Below are 21,772 nucleotides of genomic sequence, written 5' to 3'. Positions count from 1 at the left end.
AAAGTCACCTTGTAATTCCTGGATAAATCCCACTTTGTCAAAATGTATTATTCTTTTTATATATTTTGAATTTGATTTGCTAAAACTTTGTTTTGAATTTTTTATCTATGATTATGAGAAGTTTTGGCTTGTAGATGTCTTTTTATATTTCTTTGTCTACTTTTAGTATCAGGCTAATTATCAGGCTAATGCTAGCCTCATATAATGAGTTGGAAAGTGTTACCTTCTTTTCAATTTTTCAAAGAGTTTGTGTAAATTTTATATTATTTCTTCCTTAAATATCTAGTAGAATTTACCAGTGAAGCTATGTAGGCCCAGAGTTTTCTTTGTAGGAAGATTATTAACTACAGATTTAATTTTTTATTAATAATAGATACAGAGATATTCACATTACCTATTTCTTTTTTAGTGAGTTTTAGTAGTTTGTTGCTTTCATAGAATTTGTTCATTTCATCTAGATTGTCACATTATTGGTATGATGATGTTCATAATATTTCTTTATCTTTTAATTTCTGTATACTGTAGTTACGACACTTCTCTCATTTTTATTATTAGGAATTGTATCTTCTACCATTTTTCACTAGCTAATCAAGTTAGAGATTTATCACCTTAAGACAACATGTGTGTAATAATGTAAAAATCACCAACATAAAGTATCAAACAATGGAGTGAGACAAAGAGGAAGATGGCAAAGTTTTAAAAAGTAAAATATCTTCATTTAGAAGCCAATATCTTACGGAATGGTCAAAAACTGGAAGCATTCCCTTTGAAAACCGGCACAAGAAAAGGATGCCCGCTCTCACCACTCCTATTCAACATAGTACTGGAAGTTCTGGCCAAGGCAATCAGGCAAGAGAAAGAAATAAAGGGTATTCAATTAGGAAAAGAGGAAGTCAAATTGTCTCTCTTTGCAGATGACATGATTGTATATTTAGAAAACCCCATCGTCTCAGCCCAAAATCTTCTTAAGCTGATAAGCAACTTCAGCAAAGTCTCAAGATACAAAATCAATGTGCACAAATCACAAGCATTCCTATACACCAAGAACAAACAAACAGAGAGCCAAATCATGAGTGAATTCCCATTTACAATACTACAAAGAGAATAAAATACCTAGGAATCCAATTTACAAGGGATGTGAAGGGCCTCTTCAAGGAGAACTATAAACCACTGCTCAACAAAATAAAAGAGGACACAAACAAATGGAAGAACATTCTAGGCTCATGGATAGGAAGAATCACTATCTTGAAAATGGCCATACTGCCCAAGGTAGTTTATAGATTCAATGCTATCCCCATCAAGCTACCACTGACTTTCTTCATAGAATTGGAAAAAAAACTACTTTAAAGTTCATATAGAACAAAAAAAGAGCCTGTATAGCCAAGACAATCCTAAGCAAAAAGAACAAAGCTGGAGGCATCATGCTACCTGACTTCAAACTATCCTACAAGGCTATAGTAACAAAAACAATACGGTACTGATACCAAAACAGATATATAGACCAATGGAACAGAACAGAGGCCTCAAAAATAATACCACATATCTGTAACCAACTGATCTTCAACAAACCTGACAAAAGCAAGCAATGGGGAAAGGATTCCCTATTTAATAAATGGTGCTGGGAAAACTGGCTAGCCATATGTAGAAGGCTGAAACTGGGTCCCTTTCTTATATCTTACACAAAAGTTAACTCAAGCTGAATTAAAGACTTAAATGTAAGACCTAAAACCATAAAAACCCTAGAAGAAAACCTAAGCAATATCATTCAGGACATAGGCATGGGCAGACTTCATGACTAAAACACCAAAAGCAATGGCAACAAAAGCCAAAATAGACAAATGGGATTTAATTAAACTAAAGAACTTCTGTACAGCAAAAGAAACTACCATCAGAGTGAACAGGCTACCTACAGAATGGGAGAAAATTTTTGCAATCTATCCATCTGACAAAGGGCTAATATCGAGAATCTACAAAGAACTTAAACAAATTTACAAGAGAAAAACAAACAACCCCATCAAAAAGTGGGCAAAGGATATGAACAAACACTTCTCAAAAGAAGACATTTATGCAGCCAACAGACGTATGAGAAAATGCTTATCATCACTGGTCATCAGAGAAATGCAAATCAAAACCACAATGAGATACCATCTCATGCCAGATAGAATGGTGATCATTAAAAAGTCAGGAAACAACAGATGCTGGAGAGGATGTGGAGAAATAGGAAAGCTTTTACACTGTTGGTGGGAGTGTAAACTAGTTCAACCATTGTGGAAGACAGTGTGGCAATTTCTTAAGGATCTAGAACTAGAAATACAATTTGACCCAGCAATCCCATTACTATGTATATACCCAAAGGATTATAAATCATGCCATTATAAAGACACATGCACATGTATGTTTATTGTGGCACTATTCACAATATCAAAGACTTGGAACCAACCCAAATGTCCATCAATAATAGACTGGATAAAGAAAATGTGGTACGTATACACCATGGAATACTATGCAGCCATAAAAAAGGATGAATTCATGTCTTTTGCAGGGACATGGATGAAGCTGGAAACCATCATTCTCAGCAAAATATCACAAGGACAGAAAACCAAACACCCTATGTTCTCACTCATAAGTGGGAGCTGAACAATGAGAACACATGGAGACAGGGAGGGGAACATTACACACTGGGGCCTGTCAGGGGGTGGGGGGCTGGGAGAGGGATAGCATTAGGAGAAATACCTAATGTAAATAACGAGTTGACGGGTGGAGCAAACCAACATGGCACATGTATCCCTATGTTGTGCACACGTACCCTAGAACTTAAAGTATAATTTTAAAAAGAAGCAATAAATAAAAGAGGAACAGAGTCAGAACATCTGAAAATAAAATACTTCGACTGATTTTAGCATCAATAAATATTATCAATTTTAAAGACCAAGTTTTTTAATTCATTGATTTTCTCTACTGCTTTTCTGTTTTCTGTTCCATTGCTTTCTGCTCAGATATTTATTATTTTGTCTCCTGCTTACATTAGGTTTAATTTGCTCTACATTTTTAGTTTCTTAAGATGACATCAGAGGTCTCTGATTTGAGACATTTCTTATTTTCTAATACGTACATTTAGTGCTATAATTTTTCTCTCAGTTCTGCTTTAGTTCATCCCACAAATTTTGATATGTTGTATTTTTATTTTCATTAAGTGAAAAAATGTTCTAATTTCCCTTCTAATTCTGTCTTTGACCAGTGGGCTAAGTGTGTTCTTTAGTTTCCAAATATTTGGGAATTTTTAAAGGATTATTTTATTACTTATTTTAACTTAGTTCCATTGTCCTCAGAAAACAGGCACTATATAACTTGAATCATTTTAAACTTAGTACCACTTATTTTATGGCCCAGAACATCATCAATTTTAATAAATATTTTGTGTGACTTTGCAAATGATATATATTCTGTTGGTGGGTAGAGGGCTTTATAGGTGTTAAATCAACCAAGTTGGTTGATAGTACATATCAAATATTCTTTCTCCTTATTGACTTTGACTACTTATTTTAACGATAGTTGAGAAGGAATTATCAGACTTCCTAAAAACATTTGTGGATTTGACTATTTCCACTTGAAGTTCTATTCATTTTGCTTCAGATGTTTTGAAGCTCTATTATGAGGTAGGTATATAAACATTTAACATTGTTATATCCTCATGATGAATCATGAAGTCATTAGGAAATTACCTTCCTCATTATTAGAAATATTATTTTCCTTGAAATATACTTCTGATATTAATAATATCTTTTCAATTATTTTAAAAATTAGTGTTATAATAGTATGGCTTTTTTTCCATTCTTTTAGTCTATTTGTATCTTATATTTAAAGGGCATTTCTTATAGACAGCATACAGTTAGATCTTGCTTTTGTATCCAATTTCAAATTCATTCCCGTTTAAATTGGATATTTAAGTCATTTGTACTTAGTGTGATTACTACTATAGTTAGCTTTGAATCTAACATCTTGCTGTTTATTTTCCATTTAACTCATCTGAAATTTTTTCCCTTTTTTCTTCTTTATTTGCCTTCTTCGGGGTTAATTGAACATTTATGATTCCATTTTATTTCTTTTGTTGGCTTATTAACTATAATTTGTTGTTTTATTATTTTAGTCATTGCTTTATGGCATAGTATATATCTTTAAATTATTGTAGTCTATCTTTAAGTGATATAACCACTTTGTGTATAACAACTTTACAATACTATGCTTTCTTTACTCTTCCTGATGTGTGCTATATTTGTTATACATTTTACTTTTACATATACAATCCATACAATATTATTATTTTCTTAGTAAATTATATTTTAAAGGATTTTTTAAAAAATATATATTGTCTATTCACCCATATAGTTATTATTTCCAATGCTCTTCATTGTTTTTTGTAGAGCTATATTTTTATCTGGAATCATTTTCCTTATACCTGAACTTCCTTGTTGTGAGGGTTTGGTCCTGATGAATGCTTTCACCTTTTTTATTTCTGCAAAACATTTATTTCACCTTTCTTTTTCAAATATTTTTCATATGTATAAAATTCTAGGTTAATAATGTTATGTTTTGTTTTCTTATTTTCAGGAATTTTAAAAAATTTAATTATTGTGGGTATATAGTAGGCATATTTATTTATATATTATGAGGTACATGAGATGTTTTGATACAGGCATACAATGTGAAATAAGCACATCATGGAGAATGGGGTATTCATCCCCTCACATATTTATCCTTTGAGTCACAAATAATCCAATTACATTTTTAAGTTATTTTAAAATAATACAATTAAGAAATTACTGACTATAGTCACCCTATTGTGCTATCAAATAGTAGGTCTTAGTCATTCTTTCTATTTTTTTTATACCTACTAACCATCCCACCTCCCCTCCAGTCCCCCACTACCCTTACCAGCCTCTAGTAATCATCCTTCTACTCTCTATGGCCTTGAGTTCAATTGTTTTACATTTTAGATCCCACAAACAAGTAACAACATGCGATATTTGTCTTTCTGTTTTCAGTAATTTAAAAATGTTGCTGCGCTGTTTCATCATTTGTAGTATTGTTGACAAGCACTTTGCTCCCATTCTTATCTTTGCTCCTCCATGTGTAATATATGTTTTCTTCTTTAGCTGTTTTTAAGATTTTTTTCTTTCTCACTGGTTTTGGACAATTTGGTTATAATTTGACTTGAGGTAATTGTCTTCATACTTCCTAGATTTGGAATTCATTGACATGCTTGTATCCCCAAGGTTGTATTTTTTTATAAAATTTGAAACCCTTTCACCCATTAGCTTTTTCAATTTTTTTTTGTTTTCTACTTTCCAGTGCTTTAGAAATTCTAATTACGTGTATATTTCACTGTTTAAAGTTATTCTACATCTTACTGCTTCTATGTGCATTTAAATTCTCTTTTCCCTGTATTTTCCATTTTGTATAGTTTTTATTGCCATATTTTCAGGTTGACTAATCTTTTCTTCTACAGTATATAATCTGCTGTTATTCCCATTCAGTATAATTTTTATCTCAGACATTGTAGTTTTCATCTCTCTAAGTTTGATTTGGAACTTTTATTCTCTTTTTTAATTTTTTTAAGTTTTACTTTATTCTAGATTCAGAAGGTACATATACATGTTTGTTTCATGGGTCTATTGTGTATTGCTGGGGACTGGGCTTCTAGTGCCCATTACTCACAAAGTGAGCCTTATACCCAATGGGTAATTTTTCAGCCCTCACCCCTTCTCACTCTTCCCTTTTTTTGAGTCTCCAGTGTCTATTATTTCTATTTTGAGGTCCATGTGTACCCATTGTTTAGCTCTACTTATAAGTAAGAACATGTGGTATTTGATTTTCTGTTTCTGACTTAATTTATCAAGGATAATGACCTCCAGCTCCATCCATGTTCCTGCAAAGAACATACTTTCATTCTTTTTTACATGGTATAGTATTCTATGTGGATGTATATCACATTTTCTTTATCTAGTCAACCACTGATGAACACTTAGGCTGGTTCCATGACTTTGCTATTGTGAACAATGTGCAATAAGTATACGAGTGTAGGTGTCTTATTTATATAGTGACTTTGTTTCTTTTGGTTAGATATCCAGCAATGGCTGTGCTGAGTTGAATGGTAGTTATATCTTTTGTTCTTTGGGAAATCACCGTAATGTTGTCCATTGAGGTAGAACTAATTTACATTCCTACCAACAGTGAATATACATTCCCTTTTCTCTGCATCCATGTGGATCTGTTATTTTTTGACGTTTTAGTAATAGCCATTCTGACTGGTGTAAGATGATGTCTCACTGTGGTTTTAATTTGCATTTCCCTGATGCTTAGCGATGTTGAGCATTTTTTATGTGTTTGTTGGTTGCTCGGTTGCTTGTATTTTTTCTTTTAAGAAATATTTGTTCATGTCCTTTGCCCAGTTTTTAATGGGGTTGATGTGTATTTTTTGTTGTTGAATTGTTTTAGTTTCTTGTAGATTCTAGACATTGGTCCTTTGTCAGAGGCATAATTTGCAAACATTGTCTCCCATTTGTAGGTTGTCTTCTCACTCTGCTGATGATTTCTTTTGCTATGCAGAAGCTTTTTTAAGTCCCATTTTATTATTTTTGTTTCTGTTGCATTTGCTTTTGCGGTATTTGTCATAAACCTTTGCCTAGGCCAATGTCCAGAAGAGTTTTTCCTAGGTTTTCTCCCTGAATTTTTATAGTTTCAGGTCTTACATTTAAGTCTTTAATCCATCTTGAGATCTTGAGTTAATTTTTGTATATGGTGAGAAATAGGGTTCCATTTTCATTCTGTAGTTCTCAGAATAACTGTAGAACATGCTGGGAATGCAATATCTTAAGGAGGAACTGTTTGGAACAGGCTGGGCTCTATTCCTGTCCACTCCGGAACAGAATATCCTTCAATGCTTTACCCCCACTGTATCATTGCCTCCAGATTATAAAATTCAGGATAGGCTGCTTTCTGGGCTCTTTCCCTTTCATTGCAAGTGGAGCATGTGCAAATGAGACTCCCTCTAACCTAGGCAGCTTTTCTGAGCATTGGGGGACTGACTAATCATAAATCCTAGGCTTCTGTTGCCTCATGCTGCCTATCTATAAGTAATAAACCCACTTCATGGAACCTGTGTGTATGAATATTGTGTCTAACTGTACTTGTGCAAGCAATAAAAGTACAGTCCAAGATACAGAAATGAAGTGGCAACCAGTGCAAAGTGAACCTGGTTCGCACTTTTTTCTTGTACTGGTCAGTTTCCCCAGTGTTATATCAGTCCCTTGCCTGGTGCTACAAACTTGGCTACCATCATTCTAAAGTCAAGTTGGAAAAGGAGGATGAAAGTCATAATTAAATGTGAAGAATTCATCTTTTTATTTTCAACTCAACACCTCACTTTACTGTTTTTGGGACTTCTAAGATCAGAGTCTACCTCTCCATAGAATACACCTTGAATCTGTCTTCTGCAGAGAGAAGATAATAAATATGCATGTTCTAAGTGCTCCTAACAGACTGTAAATGAACTATCCTGTTTTCAACCCAACTTCACATTGTTGCTTTCAGATGTGTGTGGAGCTCCAGCATCTCCTTCACTTACTGATCCTCTCTGGAATTCTCCAATGCAAATTTCCTTATTCATTATTGGCTTCTCTCAGTACAGAGTGTGAAGTATTTCCTTTCTCCATTTTGCTTGTTCATAAAAATTTTATCTTCCAAAATTCAGTTTACTTAAGTTTTCAGTTGTTTCCTTCCTGTCCTGTTCTTGCCTTTGTGTGTTCATTACATTACTGCCATTTTAGTACAGTTTGGGAAGCTTTTATACTTAAATACAAATATCACTATAAAGTTAGAACAAAAACATTTTTTGTTTGCAAAAGCCTAGTTATTAAGAAAAGGTTAAACAGATCATGAGAATTCAGAAGAGTAAAATAAACTAATGAGTGTCTAGCACCCTCACGTGTGTGTGTGTAAGTGTGCCTGCGTGCATGGGTGCACTCATATGGGCACACGCATATGCGAATGCATGTGAGAGAGAGTACAATTAGGAAAAAAGGGTTTGTTCTAAAGGTTTGATCACAATTATGCATTGCCTTCTCTGGTGGACTACATCTATTTAGAGACCTAATATTATAGTGGAGATTGGTCCCCATTTAGACTTCTAGTGGAGCTAGGTTCTTTCCTTTGCAGTGAAGAAACAGTAATAACTTTTCCTTAATCATCACAAGGTTCATGGCAGAGACACCTACAATAAAAGATAGATTAACAAGAGAAAATCACATGTATTTATTTAATATATGTTTTACATACCATGGGAACTTTAAAAAAAATGACTCAAAGATACAAGGAAAACTATTTGTTTTGCTTAGGTTAAATAAAGAGTAGACAGTCATGCAAAAGTATGATTGGACAAAAGAGTATAATCTAATGGTAATAAGCTGAGATGAACTTAGCAAGGCTTGGTTTTTCAGCTTCTTCTCTGTGTCCCTCTGTCCTTCAGAGATAAGGACATTCCTTTCCTCTGGTTCTACAGAGGGCACGTCTGAAATAAGGGTCTTAGGACCTCCATCAGGGAAAGGCCAACTATGTTTTATGACTACTCAGGGGAGAAGGGGCAAGGGAAAGGTTAGAGTACTTTGTTGCTTTCATTATTTTTTCAATTGCTAAGGTGCCATATTTTGGCGTAGCATATCCTGAACCCCATCACTTGTCTCAGAATTTAGTAAAAACTCAAGAATGGCAAACAGCAGGTAAATTTCCCTGGTTACAGGGATTGGTTCAGGGAGGAGCATGAGAAACCAGCAGAGCCTATGAAATATCAGGAAATTTTTGCTCAGATTGCCAGAAAGCCCCATGTTCCTTCCCACTGGACTTGAGATGCTGGAGCTGCCACAAACACTGATACACAAGAGGGCAAATATCTGCAAATGAAGCCATGTTAAACGGAAAACAAGGGTCCATATAGGAAAAGAAGGGCTGGGTCCAGAAACAGTGTTTAAATCCTTGTCTACAACAATGTCTGAGCCATATTGTCCCTAGACTGTTCAGTTGTTTCCCAATAAGTTTCCCTGGATTCGATTTTCTATAACTGGCATCTAAAGGAATCCTAATAAATCCACAATGCTCTACTCAGGAAGCTCCCAAGCTTCTCAAGACAAATTATTCTGAACAGAATGAAAAGGAAGTAAGTATTAAGAGAAATATTACCAAACAGTATATTGTTAATAAACAAAAGTTAAGGCCAGGTGCGGTTGCTCACGCCTGTGATCCCAGCACTTTGGGAGGCTGAGGCAGTCGATCACGAGGTCAGGAGCTCGAGACCATCCTGGTCAACATGGTGAAACCCTGTCTCTACTAAAAATACAAAAATTAGCTAGGCGTGGTGGCACGCACCTGCAGTCCCCGCTACTTGGAAGGCTGAGGCAGGAGAATCACTTGAACCTGGGAGGCAGAGGTGGCAATGAGCCGAGATCGTGCCACGGCACTCTAGCCTGGCGACAGAGTAAGACTCTATCTCAATTTAAAAAAAAAAAAAAAAGAGAAATTTGAAACCCAAACCAGTGACCATATGGAAAGGACCATTTAAATTCTCTCACCAGCAGATGTCCTGACCTGATCAATAACTACCCAACTGAATGAGAAAACAGTGGGAAGAAAATAGGAAGAAATCATTTGATCACCAGCAATAGTCAGTCTTTCAGGAACAATGGTGTCAGTGCAGGTGACAAGAAATGGGGGAATAAAGAGAATGGTGCAGTGTACAGTGTCAGTAAACTTGATATCGATTTGGAAAAGATTTGAGAACAAATTATTATGAGACTGCAAGGTCTTAGAAAGGAAAGTCGTAATCATCAGAAACCAGAATAACATCAGGAGGAATGAATTAGGTCAGAATAAACCCAATTATTTTACATTTTTATTGTGAACAGGATGTAGATATGAGGTCCAGAAAACAATATTACATGAATGTTTATATAGTTGAATAATATGGTCCAAGGAATGTTGAATAAAAAATACAAAAAAAAAGTCACACTTGACTAGAGATCAGTAGTTTTATACTTGAGATTCACACCTCAAACCTTTTCTGTTAAAATATTTTATCATGGCCCTAGACAAAAAATGGACAACTTCTTTATCTCTTTAGTGGGATAGCAATACAGTCAAAGACAGAGTTAGGGCACTAACAGTAACTACTCTTCATTGAACACTCACTCCATTCCAGATGTCCTATCAATGACTGGGCATATATCAATTCTATAAATAGCTCACACAATAATATTAAGCGATTTAGTATTGCCCTTACTTTATAGATGAGAGAATCAAGACTTTAAGATCCTATAATTGACTTTATTATACTGATGATGTCCCAAAGCCAGAAATATCAGAGTCAGGATTTAATCACAGGTCCTACAGTCAAAATTTGTGCTCTTAACCCAAAATTTGTGCTCTTAAAATGGACATACGGTATGTAAACAAGATAAAAATATCTGCTTAAATCCAAAAAGAGCTCCAATATAAAAGTAAAAAGTGAGCTTAGAAGAAACAGTGTTGAAAGGTAACATGGGTTAAAATGATTTGGTAATTTGGGTTGACTTCAAGCTTAACAAAAATCAAGACAATTATGGAACGGCAAAAAAATTAATGCTACTCTGAATTGACTGGACCACATCTGCGACATCATATATAATTCTTGTAGCCATGGTTCAAGAAGCAATTAGATATACTTGAGCATGTTCAGGCTAATTTAACTAGAAACTGAGTCATGAGAAAAAAGAAGAGAGAATATGGGCTTAAAAGGGGAAATATATAGGATGAGCACAGGTGCAGTCTTCAAATGTGGGAAAGGCTATCAAGTAAAAGAGGGATTAAAGTCATCCTACACTGATTCAGCATTATGATTACAGTGTACTGATGTCAGCTCAAGGGACTGCACATGGAATCTATTTTAACCTGATTCTCTCATGTTGCAGAAATAAAATGAAACTGAAAATATAAGTTATTTGTTCACAGTCACATTAGATATTGGTAAAGCTGAGACTAGAATTCATGTCTCAAAAATTCCAGTTGGAGAGGCAAAACCTCCTCCTCATTAGACTATTAAAAGGGAAAATAGGCAACAATATCTTTATCTAAAACCACCACTACCTTTGAACTTCTTGGTAAGCAGGGCCCAGGATTAAGAAAAGGGTAACTCATTTAAAATAATTAATAAAAACTCTGTTAATTGAGAGAATTTATCTGTAGGTGGTAAATCAGCAATTTCCATACTTATCCCATTGTTTCATTTTAAAAGACTAGAATGCTTAACAGTGTATCTTAAATAAAGGTTCCTCTTCAGATATTAGAAGGACGTGGTCTTTTCTAATCCTGCCCCTGGACTTTTACATGGCAAAACCATTCATTTTTTCCCCCCAGTACCTAAAGCTATAGGACTGACTGTCCTCCCTTTGAGGCCACTTCTGGGAAGTCAGCCTTCCAGTCCGCTCCTTTTTGCGTGGGAGTAGGAGCAGCTGAGGGGAAGCAGCGATGGCATGGCTCAGAACACACCCACCCGATTGCCTTCCTGCTCCTGAACATCAGTTGTTGAGCGGGGGAAAGAAGCCAGAATTATCACCAGCTGTTTCCCAAGCTGTTTTGGCAGAGACTCACAGAAGAATAGACGCCCCAGGCATATTCTTGAGTAATGTTACTGGAACTAAAGCTCTGTCTCCAGAAACATACAATACAGAGAAGAGATAAATGGGCTTGATCTCTTTCTCTTTCAATCTCCATACCAGAAGGCTTTTTTGAACACTGCCTACCAAGTTTACAATCTCTAATGTTTGCAACAGTCACCAACACTTTAATGATCCTATATTCAATCCTAATTTCCATAAATTTTGGTACCATTTTTATTAACTAAGACCAACTGGAATTGGTTTTGATATAGTGAGAGGGAGTCAAAACAACTGAAATCAAACCAGCTGGATTTTTATTTTTATTTTGTAGCCCCAGTATACTATACAAAGAATTACTTTGAATTTGACTAGGGAGATGTTATCCCAAGCAGTAAGTGATGTGTCAGATTGCAAAGTCACTTTTCAATTTTGGCTGTATGTATGTAGCTTGAAGAAGATTGTAGAGCAGAGCTGCAGTACAATTGATGGCTTAAGTTGCTAATTGTAGTCAACAAACACAAGAAATGGTATTTATTATGAGGTTCTAATTATACATGCATCTCCATGAACATTGCTATCCATCATGTGTCTCATACTATTTTTACATAATTGGGAGAAATGTCCCCAACATCATAATATATAAAATAATCTTTGTTCAGTGTATATAAATTCATCTGAAAATGTAAATCACCCAGTTTTTTTTAATGACAAAGAACACTTGGAAAGCGAAGAATGTTTAATGAAAGTTCATGTAGAAAGGAAGCCAGTCAAGTAAAATGCAAATGTTGTACCAAAAGTTTATTGAGAAGTCAGAGCTAAGAGAAATGTTAGTAGCTCTTAAATTATTTTCCTTTGAGGGTTTTTCCAAAAGGATTCAAGATATCTCACATGTTTTAGTGCATGACTGTTTTCTTGCCAAATCTAACTTGAAATATTATATTCTAAATATACATGTCACATAATCATGAATATCCTTTCCCTTACTTGAATGAGGTCTGGCCAAACATTTTCCTGGCAGTTATTATGTCTATAAGAATATACTAGATATTATAGAGCTAGCCAAAAAATTGGTAGGCTAACTGCCATATAAGAATATGAAAATACTTATTTGATCAATATTAACAGGCTTTATGAAACAGGCTGTATAACATAGCTATTATTTGACATCAGCCTTTCAAAAGCATTCACTGGTAGAAGGAAAAAAAAGGTTGATTTGGCAAAGTACCACTATGAAGTTCATTTATCTCTTTATTTTATCTAATGAGGAAGAGGAAATTTAAACATGCAAAAATAAAAAGGAAAACTGCATTCATCTTCCACTAGAAACAAATTAGGGTTTCATTAAACAAAAGTACTTGCTATCCTTATGCTCATTTCTTTAAGAATGTTGATACTCTGCATCTGAATGCCTTCTATTTCTTTTAATTGTCTTACAGCACCAGCAAGGACCTTCACTATAATGGTGAATGGAAATGGTGAAAACACACTTTCTTGCCTTGTTCCAAATAGTGACAGACAGGTTTTAATCTGATCATGTATAACTATTGTAGATCCTGTTTATCAGATTGAGGAAATTCCCTCCTATTCCTAGTTTACTGAGAAATATTATCTGAGAGAATATTAAATTCTCTCAAAAGAGTCTCCTGCATCAATTGAAATGATCTTATGATTTTTCTCTTTTATTCTTTTAGTATAGTGAATTGCATTGATTGATTTATAAATGTTAACCCAGCCTTGTATTTCTGGGATAAACCCTACTTGGTCATTATCTATTATTCTTTTTATATATTGTGGAATTTAATATTTTGCATCTAGGTTTATGAAGGATATTACCCTATAATTTTTTAAACTTATAATGTCTTTCTCTGGTTTTGATTCCCAGCCACGTGTGGGCTCTGCCTGATCCCTTCTGGTGGGTCTTTTCCACGCCTCGTGTAATTTCCTCACATGCATGTGAAGCATGAACAATATTCAGCTCAAAACTTCACTCCAGATTTCAATCTTTCTCTGTGCAGCTCTCTTCTCTCCAGTACACTGCCCAAAGTCTAGCCACTGTATGCATTTTAAACTCTGTCTCCTCAACTTACAGAAAACACTGAAATTTGGGGGGTTTCTCCTCCTTGGATTGCTGCGCTTCTAATGCAGTGAGAAACTGAGGACAGCTTATCTGAGGGCTCACTCTCCGGAGTTGCTTGCTTTCCACCATCTAAATCCACTTTTTTCACAGATTTTGTCTGGGTCTTTTCAGTTGTTTAATCCAGGAGGATAAATCTCATCCCCATTACTCCTTCCCTCAAAAATTCTTAACAGTTTTTAAAATGCTTAGCAAAGTTCTGGTAAGCAAGCCAAAGTGTATAGGGTCAAGAAGAAATAAAAAACCTTTTCTTGTAGCTTCTTTTATGTAATTTTTTTTTTTAAGACAAGGTCTTGCTATGTTGTCTAGTCTGGACTGGAACATCTGGGTTTAAGCAATCCTTTTGCCTCAGCCTCTCAGTAGCTAGGACGACAGGCATGTGCCACCATGCCGAGCTTACAAATTTTACTCTAGAAAAACGTATTTTTAAAAATTATTCCTTAGACCATAAATTTACAAAATAAATCTCATCTAGTTTCTCTTTACATATTTTAAACTCATGCCTCAAGAACAGTTATAAAAATATTTGTGCCTTAAAACAATACACACAATTTTTTTTGAAAATCTAGCATTCCTAAAGAACTTTTAAAAAATAAATTACTTTTAAATTCTAATAGGTCTCTTTGAAACTTTGCTCCATCACATAATTTGTTAATTTGAAACTGATATTACACCAGTGTTCTCCAAGCTTGATTCAAAGCTGTGATATGCTGAAGAGTGTTATGAGAAATTATACTGATAATGCAGTGTGTAGAAACCAGTTATCAAATGGCAATAACGGTACTCATTTTCCAAGAAAAATATTAGTTTTAATAATAATCTTTCCTATAAACTCAAATGAGAAGTGAACATAGCAAAGGTCTTTGAGTATATTAACATTTACAAGAAGCTTAGATGTCCAGTTTCTAATGTTGAACAAGTTTTATAAATAATAAGATGCAAGAATCTTTTAGTTACTAATTAAAAATTATTTACATTATATTAGACAATAAATTAATTAAATTGTTCTAGTTTTAATTCCATACTTTTCCAAACATACATTCTTAATTTAATCAGGTCTAAATGATTTTGGTTTAAAATTCACTATCTTTTCATGATTGATAGATAGTTAGATATTAATCTACAACCCACCTTCGAGGAAACAAACGTTCAGAAGAGTATTTCCAAGAGTATTGGAAAAGTACAGATATTCTTCCATCTTCTATAAAATTAATACTGCTGAAAACTGGGACAAGTATATTTCAAGACTTCTGGTTAATGCTTAAGGGTTATGGGAGTAAATGAGAGAAGCTGACCATATAAACACTGAAAACTGGTTTTCATTTGCTCTAACACCACAACCAGCTTAGGGAAGAAGTTCAGTTCTTTCTGGTTCTTGGGGGAAAAGTCTATATTAAAAGTGGGCTAAAAATTATCTTAGAAAAATTATCTTAGAAAGTTGAAAAAAGTTCAGCAAGTGATGTTGGAAGTATGGAGATAGTATTGTGTGAAGTAAGGAAGTATTTAATATTTTCCTAACTTGCAATAATTTCATAATTAACAGTTAGGCATTAAATACACCAACATGACAATAACTGAAACTTGAACTTAAACATTCAATAAAATTTGTTATAATATTCGCTTGCCTTTCAGGAAATGAACTGTTTACACTTTTATCCTCTAATAAAAAGTGCTTTACATTTTTCATTATAATTGGGCTATTTTAAGAACACTATCACTTGGCTAATTCCTTGTCACTTGCTGAATTTAAAAGTTGCTCCAATAACATAAAGTTCATTTAACCTAAAAAAACTCATTTTTAACCTGCAAATACTCCAGGCACACTTCCCATCTGGGAAATGTTAATCAGATTTGGCAGGGAGGGGTGCTTAGGGGGTGGGGAGTGCATATTCTAAAAGTACTCAAACTCATATTGGAGTCCATGGCTTCAATGGGAAACAAGTTGAATTTTCTAGGGAAACATATGCTCAAGCACCCCATTCACAGCATGCACCCTGGGGCTGAAATATGTTTTCTGGTGGGTTGTAAGCAAAAGAAACGTTAAATATTATTGACGGTAATGGAGTAGTCAAAGATAACTTTTATCACAGTGTTTTGCATTTTTCTCATATAATTTACTATCTAATAATTATTTTGCTTTCAATAATTAACCTGTTTTATTGGACTCCTGTGCATTACTTCAAATGTTCTTGGGATCAACATTCTTATCCCACCTGCTCCTGTGATGATCAATTATATATCTGCTTTGACTCCTTTTACTTAGATCTAACCTGACAGCACCTGACCAGATGCATCTTGCTTGTTTCTCTAGGGTTTCACTGGTGCCTTGAGAACCTTTGACACCTGTTTGCAGCTCGAAAGTCCATGGAGCACCTTTATGACCAATAAAAGAGAAGGACCAATGTATAAATATTTTTTTCTTCTCTGAGGATGGGCAATTCTGAGATGCATTGCATAAAGCATCAAGTTAATATTTAATCAGTTGAAGTATAAGATATTGCAACTCCCACATACCTGGCTTAAGGCAGGATACAAAGGCATAGAATAGAAATTGAATCTGAGAACATCCAAAAAGATGTCATGAGTCTCATTGTTTTATGGACTCTGGCCATAAAACAATGAGACTCGTGAAGGTATAAAAATCATGAATAATTTTCATAATTCTCCTTCTCCAAGGCCCCAAATAAATCCTTTCACTTCCTGAAGGAACCAATTGACTTTTTCTTTTTCTCAAGATTGTCAAGAGAGATTTTTATCCTCCCAGACTTGAATGTCTTCTGATTAGAGAAATATCTGCCCAAAAAACGTCAAAAAAGGAGAAAAAGAAGAACCTAAGGAACATGAACGTGTCATAGAAATTTCTCTGGGTGGTAACCCAGCCTCAAACGGACCAACTGTGTGCAAAGCTGTTCCCCATTTTCCTAAAGGAACAATGCTGCTCTTAATAGTACTTATTTTTCAGGGGGCCCAATTTCAGATATGTTGGTTTTGGCAGGCTTCTGCTAAAGCTGTATTTTTTTCCTACTGAATTACAGTAAGAACTAAGTATTAGAGGCTGTAATTAAAGGTTGGTGAGGCAAAACTGGAAATGTGCTCAATGGGCTGCACTCAGATCCAACTGATCCGGATACATCAAAATATTGGTCAAAACTCCCCATTTATGAATCAGCTCAGTTCTGGACTGAAGAGAAGCTTTTGAGACCCTCTGGATGCTTTCTCCCAGGTTCTCTGTTATGGGTTGAATTGTCATAGGTCTTCATAAAGGTTATTAAGTTATAATAAGGCCAAATGGTTGAGGCCCTAATTCAGTATGTCTAGTATTGCTAGACATAAGAACAAAAGACACCAGGATGTGCACATACGGAGGAAGGGCCATGTGAAGACACAGGAAGAAGCCGTCATCTGCGAGCCAAGGAGAGATGCCCCAAGAGGAACCAAACCTAATGACACTATGATCATGGACTTCTAGTCTTCGAACTGTGAAACAATCAATCTCTGTTTTTTCAGCCACCCAGTCTGTGGTATTTTGTTCTGGCAGCCCTAGCTGACTTGGATAGTCTCCCATGGTGAAGGTGCCCTGTGGGCCAGGCAGAGATTCTTGTTCCCAGAGCATGGCACGGCCTTTCCTGTCTACTGGCTTTTGCATGTGATACTCATGTCAGTAGGATACCCTCCTTTATTTCTTCACATATCCAAATCCTACTGTCTTTCCATGGAAAGGGAAAGCCCCTACACTACTGGTAAACTGGTAAGCATAAGCTTTTATAGACCTTATGAGGAGAAAATTTGATAATACCTATTAAGAGCCTTAGAATGTTTATCCTCAGATAGAGTGACTCCATTTTCTGGAATTTATCTTAAAAAAGTATTAAAGATGTGTCCAAAGATTAAGCTATATGGATGCTCATCAAAATATTTTGAGTACTGCAAAACTGGAAATATCTAAATGACCAACAGAAGATAAGGTAACAAACTCGTTAAAATGATGCTGCTTAAGTTTATTATTGCAGAAATATGCTAAATAAAGCATGGTATTAAGAAAAAAGCAAGTAATATAATTTTAATACATATATTCATATAGAAATAGTTCTGCAAAAATATATGCTATCAACAATTTGTATGTATAATAAACATCACATTTTATTTTATTTATTATTTATTTATTACATTTTTTGTAGCAACAGGGTCTCCCTATGTTGCCCAGGCTGACCTCAAACTCCTGACCTCAAATGATCCTCCTGCCTGAGCCTCCCAAGATGCTGGGATTACAGGAAACAAATATACATCAAGTTATCAGCAAAGATAGCAGCTGCTTGGTTTGCTTATGAAGTTTTTGTTTTGCTTTGTTTTTGCCTTCCTTGATATAATTTTTCTGCAATAAACATTTGTTGCTTTAAGAAAAGTAGTTCTCCTTTCCAAAAAATAGAAAAAGATTTTCTGTCTTTCAAGTCCAACTTTATTCATTACTACATTTTTAAACAAATATTATTTAGAGTCTGCTACGTATCAGACACTCTTCTAGGTACTTGGCTACCTACGTCAGTGAGATAAAGATGCCACTGTAGTATACTTTACATTCTAACAGAGGAATAATATTATAATAATAAATTACATCATATGCTAGAAAGTTATAAGTGCCATGGAAAAAATAAAACAATGAACAGAATAAAGGGAATTGGAAATACTGTGATCAGGTTACAGTTTGTTTTATTGAATAGAGTGATCAGAGTAAACCTCATTGAGAAGGCAAGATATGGGCAAAGAATTGAAGAATCTAAATGAAGATATGTGAACAAAGAGCATCTCAAGCAGAAACAGTTCCAAGGTGAGAGCATGTCTAGCCTGCTGGAGGAACATTACGGAAGGTTTGGTTAGAGGAGCTGTATTGTGGAAAAGTATGAGAAGAGGAGATCAGGGAGTTGACAGGAAGAGAAGACCACACAGGCCTTTGTAGATCATTGTTAGGAGTTGGTTTAACATCATCTCACATTCCCAAAAGAATCTGGCTGCTGTGATGAGACTGGATTGCAGAAGGGCAGGGGCAGAAGTAGGGACACAAGCGGCAAAATCAATGCAGCATTCCAGGAAAGAGATGACTGTGGCATAGCCCAGGGGTAGCAGAGGAGGTAGTACAAAGCTGGTTAGATTCTTGATTTTTTCCGAACGTTTTTAATGTAAATTTTAAAACATAGAGTAAATTTCAAAAAATTTTGCAGCAAATATTCATATATGCATCACTAGATTCTCTGATTAAAACTTGATATACTTGTTTTATCACATGTTCATGCATCTGTTTATACTTCTATCCATCTATCAATGCATATTACTTTAATGCTTTGCAAAGTTTCAAGCATCAGTACACTCCCACCAAAATACTTTTGCATTTATCCCAGAGTTTAATATTTTTACAGTACTTTTTTTGAAGTTAAATTTATATAAAATGAAATGCACAAATTTTAAGTGTACCATTTGACAAATGCATACATTTGTGAAACTAAATTTTTATAATGATAAAGAACATTACTGTAACCTCAGGCAGTTCCCTTATGTCTGTTTCCAGTGATTCACTATCCCTAGGCTCAAAGCAACCATCATTCAAATTTCTTCCACTGAATGTTAGCTTCACCTCTTTTAGAACTTCATGTAAATGAAATATACTGTATGTGTTATATTTTGTAAGTATTCAAACTAACAATTTTGATATTCATCTATATTACTGCATATATCAGTAGTGCTTCCATTTTAGTGCTAAATAATTGTCCATTGTATGAATATACTACAGTTTTTTTCATATTTTCTCCTATTGATGAACAACTGGGCAGTTTAGAGTTTGGTGCTATTATGAATAAAGCTTTATGAACATTTTATACAGGGGTTTCAGTGGATACATTTTTTCATCTCTCTTTGGCAAATACATAAGGGTAGAACTGCTAGCTCAAAAGATAACTACATATTTTATAAGTATATGTTTTATAAGAAACTGCCAGATATATTTTCCAAAGTGTTTTACCATTTTACATTCCTACTAACAACATATAAAAGTTCCAGTTGCTCTAAATCCTTGCCAATATTTGGTGTTATCAGTCTTCTTTTTTAATATTAGCCATTCTAGTGGGTACATAGTGGTATCTCAATTTGTTTTAAGGTGAATTTCTATACACTTATTTTTAAGGTAATTTTTCTGTATTAATTCTTCCCAGAGCATTCCAGGTCATAGTATTTTCTCTCTTTCTACTGGCATTTGTTACATTAGTGAATGTACCTCATCTGACTATTTTTCACCTATTGCCTCACATATTTAATTTTTTTCCTATAGTAATCCTTGTTTTTTAATAAGATTATATTTACCTTGAGAGTAGAGTCTTTATTCTTCTTCTGTGTTCCCTGTAATAACTAAAACAACACTGGGCTTAGAATAGCCACTCCATAAATGTTGGTGGGTAGGACAAAGTTAAAAATCAACCTTGGAGATGAATAAACTGTGGCATGCTTATACAATGGTATGCTACTCATCAAGAAGAACGAGCTAGCAAGTCAGGCAAAGACATGGGTGAATCACAAATGCATATAGGTACAGGAAAGAAACCACTCTTAAAAGGCAGTATACTCTATTTTGCCATTAATATGAAATGTGGGAAAAGCAAAACTATGCAGAGTATACTCAGATCATTGGTTTCCAGGGCTCAGTGTGGGGAGGTGAGTCAGTGGGAAGATTGAATAGGTGAAGCACACGGGTTGTTTTTACAGTGGTATAACTATTATGTATGACACTATAATGGTGGATACTTGACACTGTGTATTTGTCAAAATCCACAGAATTTACAACCCAAAAAAAAATTGAACCTTAATCCATGCCAATTTAAAAAAAAAATCATTTAGGATGTCAGAGTAACCCATGATGGAATACAAACTGTGATAAAAGAATCTAATTACATTAGAAATATATGAAACAACCAATGACATGGTGCTGGGGAAAGTAAGTGGAGTCTATATGACTCTTATTTATTTATTTAAAGCCAAAGAATAGCATGTTTATTTCACTTAAATTCTTAAAAATACTTTTTTGGCACTTACTCCATAAAATGTCCTAACATTAAAAAAAATTCATTGAAAAGAAAAGCATTTTTAAAAAACCCAAAATGTTAAGATTTTATTTACAAAGCTTTTTGATGTATAGAAAGTAAAAATGCTGTTAGAATCTTGGTGTAAGTGGTAGCCACTATCTACAATGCATGTAAGCACCATGCTCTACTTGAAGAAATTGTTTCCAATTGAGGATATGGGTTAATATTTCTCAAACCACTACATAGGCATACAGGAATTGAACAATTAAGGAATTGAATGATGAATGGTGGAAGCCAGGTTTCTTACTTTCGGAGTAGAAGGTTGTAGACAAGCAAGATGAGAAGGTTAGAATGACCCATGTTGTAATGGATTAGAGTTGGAGAAATCAGTATGAACCCATGTTTAGCTTCATATACATAAAGATCATTACATATAGGCATACTTATGGTTTTTTGCTTATACACGGTTCACACGCACACATATATTCCTTAATCTATCAATTAACGAGGTCTAAAAGCAAAGATACCCCAATAGCAATGGGCACACCCAACACCCAGATCTAATGCCATTCTCCAATAAAATAAACCAGGGCTCCCAGGAGAAATGGCTGATTCTAAGATTAAGGCAAGAAATATACACGATGAGCCTGAAGCATCTTGTAGTGCCAAAAATAAAGAAGTTCTCAAACACATACACACACACACACACACACACACATCAATGGTGATATGTCAAAGGGGCATAGAAGCCAATTGAAAAGGCCTTTAATGTACCAAAGATGGAACAATTTCAGTAAAAAATAAAGTAGCACTGGATTATAATTCAAAGTATAAAACAAATATTATTGGCTTCATGCTGACATGAATAATTGAATCAATTCAATAAATGAGGG

General features: G+C 34.6%; 1 long non-coding RNA gene across 1 annotated transcript in view; it reads left to right on the top strand.

The window, feature by feature from the left end:
* LOC105373831 (uncharacterized) overlaps positions 1 to 18,405 on the top strand; it is a 279,396-nt gene extending 260,991 nt beyond the window's left edge. The window contains exons 3-4 of the long non-coding RNA XR_923759.3: positions 16,127 to 17,563; positions 17,994 to 18,405. This is a non-coding gene — a long non-coding RNA (uncharacterized LOC105373831). The remainder of the gene's footprint in view (positions 1 to 16,126; positions 17,564 to 17,993) is intronic.
* Positions 18,406 to 21,772: the final 3,367 nt, after the last annotated feature.

This window comes from Homo sapiens, chromosome 2 (genome assembly GCF_000001405.40).
Source record: "Homo sapiens chromosome 2, GRCh38.p14 Primary Assembly".
Classification (NCBI taxonomy): Eukaryota; Metazoa; Chordata; class Mammalia; order Primates; family Hominidae; genus Homo; species Homo sapiens.
This window is presented reverse-complemented; position numbering and strand designations above follow the sequence as displayed.